Source organism: Homo sapiens, chromosome 2 (assembly GCF_000001405.40).
Source record: "Homo sapiens chromosome 2, GRCh38.p14 Primary Assembly".
Lineage (NCBI taxonomy): Eukaryota > Metazoa > Chordata > Mammalia > Primates > Hominidae > Homo > Homo sapiens.
The window spans coordinates 236,319,313-236,335,895 of NC_000002.12; the positions used below are offsets into that span (position 1 = coordinate 236,319,313).

General features: G+C 43.9%; 1 protein-coding gene across 10 annotated transcripts in view; it reads right to left on the minus strand.

Moving 5' to 3' along the window:
- DRC11 (dynein regulatory complex subunit 11) overlaps positions 1–16,583 on the minus strand; it is a 200,792-nt gene that overhangs the window by 12,628 nt on the left and 171,581 nt on the right. For 9 of the 10 annotated variants that reach the window (NR_073043.2, NM_001270584.2, XM_047445852.1 and 6 more), the window contains 2 exons: positions 12,047–12,285; positions 4,839–5,471 (listed from right to left, as the gene is read on the minus strand). Coding sequence is in view for 8 of the 10 variants with exons in the window: in NM_001270584.2 (NP_001257513.1) it covers positions 5,376–5,471; positions 12,047–12,285 (335 nt within the window). In the remaining 2 variants the exon portion in view is untranslated. Of the gene's footprint in view, positions 1–4,838; positions 5,472–12,046; positions 12,286–16,583 lie in introns of those variants that run through there. The other variant, XR_007081589.1, reaches the window with a different exon arrangement.

The window sequence follows — 16,583 nt, forward strand, 5'->3', positions numbered from 1 at the left end:
GGAGGCAAAGATGAAATGCACGTCCAGGGAGAACGCTGTGTGCTGAGCTGGGACTTATCCAGGCTCTGCCCAGGCTGCAGCTGGGATGAAGCCTGAGTTAGGGTCAGTCAGAACCTTGCTGTAAACCACTAGAGTTGACTGAAGAGACTACATTTCTAGGATGCTTAATCTCTTGATCAAAAAAACGTACTGTGTTTGTTTGCCACGTTGAGGAACTGGGTTAGTGGCCTTGGGAACTGTGACAGTCACCTGACAACAAAACCAGTATGCAGTGGAGAGGCCAGAACCTACCCTGCACTCCTGGGTTCCCAATCGACTCCCCAAAGCTCAACGTGAGAAACTCACTTACTGAATATCTATAAAGCAATAAACACTTGCTGATTGTACCCTCTGTGCCAGGGACCTTAAATACACTATCTTGGGTGATTATATAGGCGCTAGGTGCAGCTGTTAAGAAAAGCTAAAGAATCAGAGAGACCTGCCACTTCATCACGAACTCTCAGATTCTCCATCAGAAAAGGGTTCTTGCAGGGATGAAGCCAGGCAGTGCTCAGCCTGATCCCTCAGCCTAGGTAGGGTTTCCTCTTCCTCATGTTCATCGCATGGATCTGGCCTTGCACATTCATTTGTATGACCATTTTCTTAATGTGTCCTTCCCCCTCAGACTGCAAAGCAGCTCACTACTGCATTCTCAGCCCCTAGCACTGTGCACGGCACACAGAGAGTGCTCGGTGAAAGATTTGTAGCATGAGCCAAAAAACCACTGCTATGCTGCAACTGTGAATTTGAGTGCAGCAGAATTGTTAGGGGACCCTGCACTGACGAATGAATGATTCTAGTGGTGGAGGTTTCAGGTGCTTTCACACATATATTTTGGACCAAGGTCCTTTTGGTTTCCCACGTCCTGTTGCTGGGGCGGCTGCCAGCTTGGTTTACAGCCCACAGTCTTGGTCTGCTTGGCTTCGTTTCGCATCATCGCGTGCTTCTCTTCAATTAAAGTCTTAAGACTTTCAAGGACAGGACAAGCCACTTATGCCGGTGGCTTGGGTCCCACAGTATCATTAGTGGCTAAAAATCACGTCAGTCCTGTGAAACAGCCCTGTGACCACCTACCACAATTACGGTCTTCATATTAAATGTGGATATGCGTTTGAAAAGGGTCTCAAACAGATTCTTCAGCATCAGGGCCTTTCAATTTGCTGTCTCTGAACGCAGGTGTTTGGTGAAGCCCCGACGGTCTCCGTCTCAGGAGCATCTTTTCAGCAATGCCCTGACATTGGTTTTGGGCCTGGGACCTACTTATTCCTACATGCAGAGCCACCTGAGAGGTCAAATTGCACTTTAATCAGACTCCATCCCGCAGAATGCTCCCTTAATGAGGGTTAAAGGTATTAATTACTGTCCCCTCCACTTCAGAATGTGCTCAAGAGGAGCTAATTGTCACATAATGGCCCAGGGCGGCTGAGGCCCTAGCAGAGCTCTGAGGAGTCTACAGCTCCCTCCGCCGGTCCCTCCGCCGGTACCCCCCCGCCCCCCGCCATCGCCTTCCTCCCATTTCATCCCACAGAGCTGCTGTGCTTCCTCTCCCCATCAGATAAAAGTGGGAGTTCTAGGGCATGGCGGCCTCACCTTCCAGGAGGACTTTGGGTTTTCAGCGTGGATGGCCAATAGGCTCAGTTTGCTGACCTGCTCCGTGGATGACAAGGTACCATGCCTTCTCCTACTGAGTCAGTGTGACCAGTGCCTCTTTAGAGGACAGTCTGTCAATAGCTACCCAAATGAAAGACTCACAGGTGATTTGACCCAGTAATTTCCATTCTAGGAGTTAATCCTACATACTTTTATTTATTTATTTTTTTTTGGTATATACCCACGAAGACTATGTAAGGGCACTTATTACAGCAAGGATGGAATAGCAAAAGGGTGGAAATAATCTAATTATCTGTCAGAGTGGACTGATTAAATAAATAATGGTATATCTATAAAGTGGGGTAGTACGGAGAGAATACAAAATGAGGCCCGTCTGTATGTGCTGATATGAAACAATATTCAATTTACAGAATTAAGCAAAAAGAGCAAGAAGGTAGAACAGTATATATGTTCTAATGGCGTGTTACCATTTGTGTGAAACACGCAGAATATGAGTATGTGTGTGAGTATATCTAAGCGTATCTACACTCCCTCTCCACACCCACTCACACACAAAGCAGCAGGCTGTGATGTAAATATCAGCATGTGCTGAGCTATGGAGTGTTGGCTCTGGCGGACTTTGCAGTGACAGACAAAGGGCCCTCTGATCCATGGGCAGCAGAAAAGTGTATGTATCTTTGGCTCAGAGGAGGGGCTGGCTGACACTACCAAGCTTTCAGACAGAGCTCATGGCCCCATGTGTGACAGAGCAGGAGCACCGTCATCTCTGACAGTTCCAGCTCCCTTTCTAGCCTCATGCATTTCAAGGATATCACTTCTCTTCCAACTGCAAGCAGCCAGAAAGAGCAGACAGTAAGACCCATATAAGACATCTCGGGCACAGAGGGTGGGGGGGAAGTCTCTTGGGTAACCACCAACTTCACACTCATACAACGGGCCCCAGTAAAACAATGGACCCTAATAAGTACATTCCTTTCCCTTTAGATGTGCTAAGATAGGGGAGCTAAAAGCAGACTCGGGGGTATGCCTGCAGCTGCAGGAAGATATACGGGAACAGACACACAACTCTCCCTCCCAGATAAGTGAGGCAAAAAGACACAGAAACATTCCAAGCCTGTGATAAGCTCTCCTGCCCTAAACCTTTAAATACTCTTGGTCTGTAAGAGAGAATGCCTCTGACCTAACTCAGCCAGAAGCCCCTCTCAGGTTTATTCTCCAAAATCAATCTGTCTTTGACTCTTGAGCTGCTTTTCATGTTTCTTTCCTCTTTTTTTTTTTTTTTTTTTTTTTGAGACAGAGTCTCGCTCTGTTGCCCAGGCTGTAGTGCAGTGGTGCAATCTCAGCTCACTGCAAGCTCCGCCTCCCGGGTTCACGCCATTCTCCTGCCTCAGCCTCCCGAGTAGCTGGGACTACAGGTGCCCGCCACCCCACCCGGCTAATTCTTTTTTTCTTTTTTTGTATTTTTAGTAGATACGGGGTTTCACTGTGTTAGCCAGGATGGTCTTGATCTCCTGACCTCGTGATCCACCCGCCTCGGCCTCCCAAAGTGCTGGGATTACAGGTGTGAGCCACCGTGCCTGGCCTCTTTCCTCTTTCTTGAATTCTTACACTGTGGAAGTAGAGCACAAACTCAGCACTGGGCAGGGCAGGAAGCCATCCTTTGGGAAAAGGCTGAGTGAGGCCCTGGCAATCACGTCTCCATGTTAGTGTGCTAGGAAAAAGGGAGTGAGTGTGTAGACAGGATCTTTAGCTATCTTTACCAGTTTTTAAACTTAGGTTACTCTAACGCCGTCCTGCCCAGTACATCAGTCACACCAGCCATGTGTGGCTATTTAAATGGAAATGAACATTGAATACAATAAAATATTCAGTTCTTCAGTTGCACCAGCCACATTTTGAGTGCTTAGTAGCCTGGTAGCTTAGTGTGACTATGGACTACTCCTACTGGCAGATCACAGATCTAGAACTTTTCCATCATTGCAGAAAGTTCTACTGGATGGTGCTCTAAAGCATAAGTATCAAGTTTCCATCACTTAATTACTGTTTATTAAATGTTACCTGCACAGGTTTTTATGAGTTCTGAAAAAGTGTACTTGTCGTGAAACTAAGACCAAGTGAAATGGTATTTTAAAAAACGGTTTACTTTTACCCTCATAGTTTTCATTTCTTTGCAGTGCAGATGTCATTGCTTTGCAACAGACATCAAATCCCAGAGCCCTGATGTTCTCTTCTTGGGCCATAAGTGGGGTCCCATGACACGTGAAAGGATCTTGGCAGAACCATCTTGGAGACAGGAATGTCAAAGGGCTCTGGGATGTTAGGGTGGGGGAGTCTGCCATTTCTCAGGCCACCCTGGGCTTTGGCTAGACATAATCTGAAGTGGGTAAGGGGAGTCTGTGGAAATTGGGGCACCTTTGGTAATGAGAAGGCAAGTCTGTGGAGGGCACCCTGAAGCCAGTAGTTTGTTCGAGGGGACACTCAGGAGGAGGATGACTTCGTGGGGAGTGCGGAACTGTCCAGGGCACATCGGCCTGTGACTGTCTCTGTCTGTCCCAATTTGTATCAGTCTGCTGTGTACAGACACAGGCTGGGGGGTGTGCTGGTGGCCAGAAGACACCTGGAAACCACAAACCTTCTTGGCCATTGATGATCCAAGCCACTGGGAATCCTGGCAAAACCTGGATGCCTGACCTGGTCTATGCAGTGTGAGATTTTATGAATTTCTGTGGTCTAACCCCAAACTGTCAGACAAGGTATTCTTAAAATTCAAGTTAAATTCATCCCATCTCAATTGAAGTCTACTTCCTCTGACTGTGTTCTTACCACAATTTAGAAGTGGGTTACTTGCTATCTTCCACCAATAACCTTTCACATCCTTACACGATTTAAATTTCTCTTTTGAGCTTTCCCTACTCTTTAATCTTTTTCTTATGTACCCTGTGTTATTTCTTCACGTCGGCTTTCCCTTCTCTGCATTTACCCCATTTTTATGCCATGGTTTTCATCCAGTCATTGGCCTGATAATTTTTCAGTCCTTCCAGTGAGGACTAGGCGGGGTGGATGATGTCCAGGCTTCAATATTAGCAGTGGGACCTGGACTCCAGCTATCTCAGCTTCAAAATTAGGATGTTGAAATAGTTCATTTGTAAGATCCTGTTTTCGCTCCAGCAACCAAATTACCGAGTCAGTTCAAGGACAACACCTTTATTTCATTATATAAAATCTATTACTAGAGCAAAGAATTAATTTATTAAAATAGATGCAAGATACTATACAGTGTACATGGATTAATAAAAAGCTAGTGTACTGATGATATACTCATTGCTTACTAATTGTCAAACTAGAATATTCTTTAACTGTCACATTTTAAATTTGACAACTAGTACTGATGAGAGGAAGAGTCCAACTTGGAAAGACTGTGGAGGGTGTCAAGAGTGAATTTCAGTTATATACAAACTTGGCGTGGATTAAAGCTGTGGAAAGTTATGATGAACACCCAGCTAGGTGTCCAGCCTGGGAAAGGCATAACAGCACATGCAGTGGTTAGCGGGTTTGCGGCATCAGCTCACCTGCACACTGCTAAGTTCCTTCCCCTGAGGGCTTCTTCAGGCGGGCAATGGTGAATCTTTTCTTTGGCGAGTTGGGGTCCTCTCCATCCCAGAGAGACTCAAGCATGGTTCTTCAGAAAGGCATTACTTTTTCTTTTTTGCCTTTTTCTCTTTCTTTTATTTCCTTTTCCCTTTGTCCTTTGCCTTTTCTGTGCTGCCTCCTGTTATCGCCAAGGCACGTTTTTTACCCAGAGGAGTTTTGGCATACCAGTTCTGAAATACAATAGAAGTTTCGGAAAAGGTCAGAATGACACCAATTCACCGCAATACTCTTAAAAATAAAGAAAAGCCTGCTAAGCAGGAAGGGGCAAGCAGCCATTGTACTTTGGGCATTTAAGGTATGCTTGACACAAGCTCTTTCTCAGTGGGTTTTCCAGACTGTTTTTCTGCATGATTTGAAACTTCAACCTGTATTTCTGCATGATTTGTTAACTCAGGGAGTTAACAATTTCAGAGAATCTCAGGCTAAACCTAACCAGCCATCCTTCCCAACAAAGTTGCCTGTTTTTCCGGGGTTGGGTTTTCTTGGTAACGTGAAGGGTGCTCATGGTTCATATGTGGCCATGTTCAGTAAACAATGGGCGGCCATTCAACTACTCTGGGGGAGTTGCTGTTGAAACCACGGTAGAAATAATGGAGCCCAAATACTAACCAAGAACTTAGTGATTGTAACTGGCCCCACAATGGCATTTTTCTCAACCTTTGCGTTTTATTTGAAACCTAAGAGACATTTGGGTTTATAAACTTTATAGTAGCAATATTTCATTGCAGGATTATATTACATGTTATTTATCGATTCTCCTATTAATGGATATATGACATTTGAATTTTTGGTTATTATGAAGAATGCTGAAGTTCACAATTTTTACAAATCTCCTTGTAACTATGTGAGAGAACCTCTTTAGGGCACACATTTAGAAATAGAACTCCTGGGGTTGTAGGGTTTGAACATCTTCAATTTTACTTGGTATTGCTAAATTGCTCTCTGAAGTTCTGTAAGTGGGAAACTCTCTTGGTCTTTGTATGTCTTTTTTTTTTTTTTCTTTTTTTGAGACTGAGTCTCACTCTGTAGCCGAGGCTGGAGTGCAGTGGTGTGATCTCAGCTCACTGCAACCTCTACCTCCTGGATTCAAGCAATTCCCCTGCCTCAGCCTCCGGAGTAGCTGGGATTACAGGCGTGCGCCACCACACCCAGCTAATTTTTGTATTTTTAGTAGAGACGGGGTTTCACCATGTTGGCCAGGCTGGTCCTGAACTGCTGACCTCAAGTGATCTGCCCGTCTCGGCCTCCCCAAGGGTAGGGATTACAGGTGTGAGCCACGGTGCGTGGCTTCATATGTCTTAAAATGTCTCTTTTCTCCTGTCTCTTGTATGCCAGTTTAGCTGGATACAAATATTAGGCAGATAGTTGTTTTTCCTTAGTACTTTGTAGATATTATTTCACTATCTTCTGGCACCTATGGTTGTTAAAGAGATGTCTGATTTCCCAATTGTTTCTTTGTAGGTAATCTGGTAGGTTTTAAGCCTGGCTTTTAATCTTGTTCTTAAGTTCCCAACAATATATCTAGGTATAGATTTATTTGATTTGTTCTGCTGATTACTAGGAGTTTATTAGTTAATAAATTATTTTACTTGGAATTGATTTTTAATCCTTCTTTAATTCAGGAAAATTCTCAGTAATAATATCTTTAAACAATTGTTCCTCTGATACTTACTGTATTCTTTTTGTGTTCTAGAACTTATTGTGTTCTAGAACTTCCATTAATGAAGGTCAGTGTCTTCAACCCACCTTTGATGGATCTTTGTATTTTTATGGATTTTACCTTCTTGTTTTTTTGTGCTGACTATTTGGGGGTACTCCCCAGGACCATCTTCCTGTCCACAGATTGCTCTTTGATCATGTTTAGTTTAGAGTTCATACCTCTTTCATTTCCTTTGTCATTTTATACTGATTGCCATATTTTTAATTTCTAAGCTTTCTTTCTTTTTCTTTGCAATTCAGACCTTAGCTTCTGACTCTCTAAGCTTTCTTTTTGTAATATTTTTTCATAATTATCTCTTCTCATTTCATTTTTTTCCAAAATGTTCTGTGCATTTCTAATGGAAGTCATGCTCTCATTTATTTTTTGAACATCTTAATTATATTAATTTAAACATTTTGTCAGATTGTATTTAGCACTAGATTTCCTAAAATGTTTTGGAATTTTGATTTTCAGATTTGTTGTGTGTGTGTGTGTGTGTGTGTGTGTGTGTGTGTGTGTGTGTGTGTGTTTGAGATGGAGTCTTGCTCAGGCACACATCACCACACCTGGCTAATTTTTGTATTTTTAGTAGAGGCGGGGTTTTGCCATGTTGTTCAGGCTGGTCTCGAACTCCTGACCTCAAGTGATCCACCTGCCTTGGCCTCCCAAAGTGTTGGGATTACAGGTGTGAGCCACCATGCCTGGCCAAGATTCATTTTGAATGGGAAGTTTTGTTTTGGGCTCTGTCTCTCTCTCCTTATTCTTTCCTCCATAGCAGTTCTACAGCTGCTTCTATAAGATCCTCTAAACTCAAATACAGAACCAGGTCTTATAATGATGTTTTTGATTGATGCTTCCCTTAATGCTTCCTGGTGATATTAGGGATATCAAAGATCCAGTCATAAAAGAAGCAGGTATTATCATTTTATCTTTCACAAACTGTTCTTTTTGTTTTTGTTTTTGAGACAGAGTCTTGTTCTGTCACCCAGGCTGGAGTGCAGTGGCACGATCTTGGCTCACTGCGACCTCTATCTCCCAGGTTCAAGAATTCTCCTGCCTCAGCCCGGGACTACACACGTGCACCACCATACCTGGCTAATTTTTGTATTTTTAGTAGAGACAGGGTTTTGCCACGTTGGTCAGGCTGGTCTCGAACTCCTGACTTCAAGCGATCTGCCTGCCTTGGCCTCCCAAAGTGCTGGGCTTACAGGCATGAGCCACCGTGTTCAGCCAACTCTTAAACTCTCTTTGATTTCTATCCTTTATTTTTCTCTATGCTGCATTCTAGGCAATTTTCTTTGCTCCCTTTTTCAGTTCTTTTGTTTTCTCTTTAGTTTTGTCCAGTCCACAGACAATTTATTCACTGAGTTATTTATTTATTTATTTTTTGAGATGGAGTTTCGCTCGTTGCCCAGGCTGGAGTGCAATGGCATGATCTTGGCTCACTGCAACCTCCGCCTCCTGGGTTCAAGCAATTCTCCTGCCTCAGCCTCCGGAGTAGCTGGGATTACAGGCATGTGCCACCACGTCCAGCTAATTTTGTATTTTTAGTAGAGACGGAGTTTCTCCATGTTGGTCAGGCTGGTCTCGAACTTCCGACCTCAGGTGATCTGCCCGCCTTGATTCACTGAGTTTTTAATTTTAATGACTATATATTTTTTTCACTATCAAAAGTTCTATTTGGTTCTTTTTCAAATTTTCCTGTTTTTCCTCCCTAATGTTTCTGGTCTTTAATTTAAACATGCTTATTTTGTAGTCTCTTTCAGAATGTCCTTTTATCTCAGGTTCTTGGTAGTGCTATTCTGTTATTTGCATTTGCTGACTCTCCTTGGGGTAGATTATTGCTTGTGGCTCATAATTTTTTATTATGAACTCATCTTTAGCAAGGCTGGTATTTCCTGTAGGAATCCTATGTACCCTGACTTGGCTAAATTTCCATACAGAGTGGTTTTTAATTTTGCTTTTGATGTGACTTCAGGGGTTTTAATGATACCATTATCATTTTAAAAATTATATTAATATTTCAACTCGAGATTCTGGGACCATGGAGGTAGTACAGATTTGGAAGTTTGACATGCATGGTGTAGGCTTGGATTTTGATTTCTTATGGGCCACTTTTATTCCCCACCTAGATCCCTGAGAAGATCACAAGTTCCTTGATGCTTCCCCATGGCAACCTATAAAGTGTTCCAACTTTGTGCAGTTCCAGCATTCTGTCTCTCATGGGCCTCTCCTTGCCTTTCTGTTTGGATCTTATACACCCCTAGGCCACCCATGTATTAGCTCATATAGTTGTTCCTGTCTTTGAGATGTACCTCTCTGTTAGTGGCACTGGGGGATTCCCTCTTCCTTCTTTTAGCCTTGGCTCTGTTTTTAATGTAAGGTGAGGTGGCCATGTACTTAAGGCGATGAACTCCTAATTTATCGAGACCCCGTACAGAATATAGTTAATGAAGTTCGCTTTGGGGAAAGGTATGAATTTCAGCTCTGCTACTTTCTAGTTGTTACTTGCCTCTTGTATTGTTTATTTTATTGCTGCTGTGGCAAATTTCCGGAAACATGGTGGCTTTAAGCCACACATTTATGATTTCACAGGGCTGTAGGTCAGAAACCTGGAACGGGCCTCACTGGGTGACAATCAAGATGGCTGCAGTGCTGTGTCCCTTTCTGGAGCCTCCAGGTGAGAATCTTTCCCTTGCCTTTTGCAGCTCTCAGAAATCACCTGCTTTTCTGGCTTGTGGCCCCTGCTCCACCTTTGGATAGCAATGCTGGGCTACCTGGAGTACCAACGTGCCCTTCTCAGACTGCTCTCTCTGGTTTTCTCTTCCAACTCCCTCTTCGGCTTTTCATGATTACATTGGACTCACCAGGATAATTCAGGATAATCTATCTTCAGGTCAGCTGACTAGCAGGCTTACTCCATCGGCAGCCTTAATCCCCCTGTGCCGTGTAACCTCACTTATTTTCAGGTTCCAGGGATGAGGATGTAGACGTCCTTGAGGGGCCATTATCCGGCCTACCATGCCTGTCCATATCTCAGTTTCCTCATGTGCAAAACAGGGGGTTATGAGTCTAAATGAGTCAGTACAGTGGCTGGCACATAATAAGCAGTCAATACGTATTAGCTAACATTATTAGACTTACTATCATCGTTATCATACATATTCTCTCCATCATGTCTGTGGAGCAGGGTAGAACGTGTTTGGAGAATCTGCAAGGTCTTCATCTGAGATAACGTTGTCGGAAGCACAATTAGGTGAAATTTCTCAGGGTTTGCCTCATTAGAAGGAACCATAGCAATGGTATCACATTATTCAGGAGAGTGTGAGGGTGTCACTCCATCTATCCATGTGTTTAATGAATGTGTCCCTAAACAAATTTATTAAACATCTACTTGGGGCCAGGCACAGGGCCAAGCACTGTTGCTGTAATGGAGGCACAAAGGGATTGGGTGGAAAGGGTAATGATGGCAAAATGATGCAGTTTCTTTTGAAAATGAATAGAGCAAACAAATACACCAAGAATGGATGTGTGAAGCATATGCATTCTCATCCCGGGTCATAAAAGGGTAGTAATTCCTTTTCTTGAATAGTGTGATCAGACCTCAAGCACCTATAGATAGAAAAACTTCTAGAGATTACTTCGGAAAGTTAAAGGCTCAGCCACGAGAAAGGATAGGCTTCCACACCTTATCATCTAACTCCTCAAAATAAGGAGGAAAATTAATATTTTAGAAAGGAGAAAAAATGGGGAATTTCAGAAAAGAATATGATGTATCATTTGAAGAGGATAATATCAGCAATTATGAACAGGTTTAAACAGTTAACGAGAATATTACTAATAATTCAAATGCTTGGTAAACACTCAGCTAGAGTTACATTTTTTTTTCAGCCTTGCCAGAGCGGGGGTCAGCAAAATATGGCTGATGGGCCAAATTTGGCCTGTTGTCTGTTTTTGCAAATAAAGTTTTATTGGAACCCAGCCATACGCATTCATTTCTGTATTGTGTATAGGTGCTTTTGTACTATGATGCACAACTGAATACCTGTGATAGAGACTGCATGGCTCTCAAAGCCTAAAATATTTACTATCTGGACCTTTATGGGAAAAGATTGCCAAGTTCTGTGCTAGACCATTACTTCTGAAATCATTATTATGACTATTTTTCACCTTTCTAATGCTTCACTGAAGAATTAGGGGCAAACCAGGAAGGAATCATAGTTTTAGATTTGATGGAAAAGTGATGTGTTGCAGAGGGAAATTTTCCTGATGTTAAGCAGGCTCCCAGAGATAGGCTTGGATGGGAATTTCAGTGCCCCTTCTGGTGACTGCACAGCCAATATTGTGGTGGTCTTCAGTTGCATGCATATAATCTCTTACCTTTGGAGTTGGTCAGGGAAACTTCCTTCAGAAAGACAACACCACTGTATTTATTTTTGCTTAAAGGAGAGCAGGCAGAGTTTGAGGAGTGCCTGCTGGCCTGGGCACTCCTATAAGAGAGGGTGTTGGGAGAGATAATTCTCAAAGTTTCCTTCAGATCCAAAAAGTTCTGTGAATAGGTCAGAATGTATTCAAACATTGGAAAACTAAATTTTGATGAGTTATCTTGTGGCTTCCTATCGCAAATGAACTGAAACTGAAAAACAAAGTGTTCCATGACAATTGTGGGCCCCAAACAGCATTGGCTTGAACTATACTATTTGGGGAATGATTTCTCTACGCAAAACTTATTCCATAATACCAAATATGAAGTAAAAACCCAAATAAGTATATGTGTCTATGTGAATCCAATGGTGTTGAAGCTGCTACTCAATTCTGCAATTGGGCTGTTAATATATAAGGCCACACACCATGGTTTTCCTAAAATTTGGAAGATACATGCTTTACTGCCAAAACCCCAAAGATTTTGTCATCCAAAATTTCAGGTTTCCAAATTTCACTGTATATGGCCGAGTTCCAATTCACGAAACCCACGGAACTGCAGAGGGAGGAGGCAGCGTGAGGAGTGTCTGCTGCTAAGACTTGGTCATCAGGGTGTTCATTTACCTTAAAGCTCTCTTCTTCCTCTTTGTACACTGGATTCATGCTGGTTATCGCCGTAATAAACTCAACTGCAGTGAGAGGTTTATGAATTTGCCGCCGGATTCTCTGATCTGTGAGCACGCCTTTAACCACTTCGACTATATGTCCTTGGGTGAAGCCGTCAGTGACCTTCGCCAGGCAGCTGACATTCAAGGCACTGGTGAGGACTCCTCCATTGCGTTCAATGATTTGCTTCCACAGAACTGTTGTATCCAGAAAAGACACAGAGAACAAGGGTTACCACAGAGAAATCAGTGCCAGTTTCCCTCTCGGTTGAAAGTTGCATCTCATCAAGAAAGGAATACACAGAAGTCTACTCTAGCTTATTTGTAACTCAAATGAACCGAAGCCAAGTAACTAAATGCTTTCCTCTAGAGAATTTTCAACCATAAGCCATACATATCAATGACCCTGAGGTCTATAGATCCACAAGTGCCCTGCAAATTAACAAGGAGAAACACAAAACCACCGTCAGTATAGTTTTAATGTGGTACCTGTAAAGATGTTGACAATCTGTCAACACTGGAAATTTTCATAAGGTGTATAATGGCATCTCTTCTCATCAGAATATTGTATTTCCCAAGTAATTTGGGTAAGTAGTTTAACTTTTTTTTTAGATATAAAGTTAATTTCTCACATTATTTTTACATCTGGAATCAGAATGCAGATTCCAGTTTTCATCAGCTACTGCCAGGGTCAGTTCCCTTTCAGTGGAAGACACTGTATTACACATTTTATTAAATAGAGCAATTTGACCCTTATTCTTTCCCCCTCAGCAACTGTAAACACGCATTGGTTGACTAGAGTCCTTCAGATGAGTCCTGGGTGTTCTCTGGTTCGTGGGACCTGGAGTAAATGAGATATTTCAATCTGAACACAGGGATGCTGTGAAAATGAATTATGAAATAATTCTGGATGCTTAACTTTAGAGATGGAATGAACTCCTGTACAATCCTTAAAATCATTCTGTATTTGGAGAATTACCTCTATTCTGTAAAGGGAGCACAAGGGAAGTAAAGGAGACTTGCTGTAACTTATTTAATTATATCGAGACGGTGGAGAAGGGTGAAGGGTGTTTACAAGAGCATCTGTCAGTCTCAGCACTGGGATAATCTGGTCAAATATTTCTAAACCATTTTGACTTTTCTTGAGGAACACTTGAAACCATTTTTTAAAAAATGACCATGACTACCTGATCTGAGCATTGTCAGGCCTGGTAAGCGGTTAATTCTGAGTCTGTTAAATGACTACATCACACAAGTATGTTGATCCAAAAATGGCTGATAAAATGAAAAGATCTACTTACTATAAAGGAATAAAATGGCCTATAATGTAACTATGAACCAAGCTGGAGAATCTGGCTTTTGGGCCACGAGCTATTGCAGCAGTTCACTCCCACTGTCCTCTTTTGGGGGGTCCTTGGCCCTGTGGGTGAGCTGAGCTGCTGGGAAAGGGTGAACTGTACCTTGGGGCCTGCCAATTTCTCTGAGCTGTGGATGCATAGGCATCCAGGGTTTGGAGATCTGCAGTGAAACCAAGGAGGGCCACAGGGACCCCAAATTGGCCTAAAGGATCATGAAATCCCTGATCTACTCTGCTCCTGCCTTGGTGGGTTTCTTTGAGCTTGAGCCCCAAACTAGTCTTATCCGTAAAACAGGCATAGAAGGATTGACTTCTCAGTGCTGCTGTGAAAAACAAGCCCAAAAATGTTTGTAAAGCGCTTGGAAGTGCAGCAGCCCGGCACTTGGTGGGGACTTGACTTTCTGTGGCTGTGTTACTGTTGTTATTACAATGACAATGATTGTTCTTCATTCTATATTGCACTGAAGTTTCCTAACCCTCATTAAAACATCAATTACAAAAGACAACACAAAATAGGCTACAAGAGTGTTTCAAAGCCTGTTTGTGTAGCGATGGATGGCAGCCGGTGAAGATTATCCTTGTCTAAATATAACTGTTGCAGAGTTAGAGATCAGAAAACATAACCCATGGTAAAAATGATCATCACAACAACAACAACTAGCCCACATCTTCACTTGAGATCTGGTGTGTCTTCCGTCCAAATTTATAACATCTAAACAAAGTACCACCGGGTCTGAGTGGCGACTCTGGAAGCTGAGAAGGGAACATGATTTATGGGAGAGTCACAGGTAAGGCCCCAAAAGCTGAAGTTGACATCCCAGGCTGGGTTTCATGCTTGCGGACTTGGTTCTGGGCACGCATGAGCAAAATTCCTGCCGTGGTGCAAAAGGGAACTATCAGTGGGAAGGGGTGAGGGCCACGTGCTCACTGGCAACCAATAACTAACTCTCTCCCTGGCTTCTCTGTGAAGCCACAACAGTCACAATCTTGGAAGTTTTCTGCCCAAATCATCCAACCTTCTTGCAGGAGTAATCACTCGATGAGTAGAGATTCATTAGTAACGGTGTACAGTTACTGTACTGGGAAAGGGTGAACTGTACCGTGGGGCCTGCCAGTTTCTCCGAGCTGTGGACAATTAGGCATCAAGGCTTTGGAGACCTGCAGTGAGACCAACAAGGGCCAGAGGGACATGTAAACCCGCTGCTGCCCATTTAAAGTGTAGGATACTTGGTGTTCACGGAGAGTTTCGGTCAAGATTCCTCTGAATACATGACTCATTGGTTACTCTCCATAGATCACCATTTTTACTGGAGTTGCAGCAAGAGAGCTCTGTGAGACAGTCCCAGCTGTGGTGGGACCTGCCCACCTGCCTGCTCATCTGAAGATCCAGAGAAGGGGATGCAAAACCAGGCTTGGCTTCCTTCCTGCAGCTGATGAACTCGAGCTGTTGGTCTTTCAAAGAATCGCTTCTATTGCTTTTACACAATCACCCACTCATGGTTTCTTGGCCCTTAAATAGCTGCTGTAGGGCCCACGGTGGTGTCAGGTGTGGAGGGAGGCACAGCGTGGTGGGCTGGGTGGAGACTGGAGCCGGCAGTGAGCATGGGAGCCCCAGAGGCTGTGGGGTCTCTGGCCCAGAAGTGCAGTGGGGAGCACAGATGCACTGCAGTCTTGGGGTGTGGCAATGGCTGTGTTGGTGAAGACCAAGGCTAGGGGCCCCAGAGTGTTGAGGGCAGCAGAGGGGCTCTCCAGGCCAAGTGCTGAATTTTACTTTCCTCTTTTGGAGGCAAAAGGCTCCTCACATCTTCAGACCAATCTACATTCTCTTTCCCTTCTTTGGATGAAAGAGAATTTGGCCTTTGGCTCCCCTTCATCTGCTGTTGACATTCCCAGTGGATTCTGTCTTGGCTGGCGCTCGAGATGACGCAGTCTCTGAACATTCATTTTTATTTGGAGTTTTCCAAAAGCCTGAGAGGTGAATAATGTGATGTGGGTGAGCTTCTGACCCTCTGAAGCCTGGAATTGCAGAAAAGTCTGAAGACAGACCCTGGACCCATCCGACCAGACACTGGGTCTGGGTGGGCCTGTGATGAATTGGGTTATTAGCGAAATGCACCCCAAGGAGAGAGGCAAGAGGAGGAGGGCACTGGGAATGTGGAGAAACGGAAGCCCGAAGGGATTTCTGGGGACCAGACAGGGCATCCATCAGCCTGGGGGGTGGATTTTCTTTGCAGAGACAGCTTGGTCTGGGGGAAAGAAGGAGAGATTGAATGATGTTTGGTGAACCTGAGGGCTGTGTTTCCTCTACAAATCCACCCTTCACTTTTCAGCACCGTCTGTCCCCACGTGGCCCGGAGGAATTTGAGGAGTGGGGCCGCGGGGACTGCTGCACACCTTTGAGCTCCATTGCGGGTGGAGAGACAACTAAGCCACCGTCTATGTTACGGATTGGCAGCCCTTGCTTTATGGACTGGAAGATACTACTTTTGATAGCTGCAAAGACAAGAACAGTCTTTCTGTAAGACAGATGTCCCAGCCACTGTGGCTATGAAAACTTCAAGGTCACTGGAGGAAATGCTGGATGAGGGGCGATGACGTCGGCCAGAATGGCGGCCTGAACACATCACTCCCCAAGACAGAAATATTGAGGAGCTGTGCTTCAGCGGACAGAACCCAGGGCCCCAGAGAAGTGTCTGGTGCAGCTTTATCATTTGCCCACAGGTGGAGGGATGCTTTCTCTCCTTCCTCTCCCATCACGATGCTGTGAGGAGATTCAGGTAGGAATCTGCAGCGTGATCTGAATCCTAAGCGATGTGTGGTGTTTTATCAAAAGAACAAAATTGCTGACCATCCATCAATAGCTTCATTTTTAAAGGGCCTATAGTTTTGTCAAACAATAGAAACCATTCTGTCCAGAGTCCAGAATAATGCTCCAGCCCCTTTGAATTAATAATACCCTACCTTATTCCATTAACACAGCTTAAAATATAGATACCATACAAAAAAGGAAGAAAAAAAGAAGAACGCATGAGAGGAGACAGGGGTAGTCCTGCTAAGGCCAGGGGTGTGGAACCCCCGGCATTGGCTGTGTGGGCTGCGGCGAGACTGTGGTGCCTGCCCGTCTTGCGCTGTCTCCTTT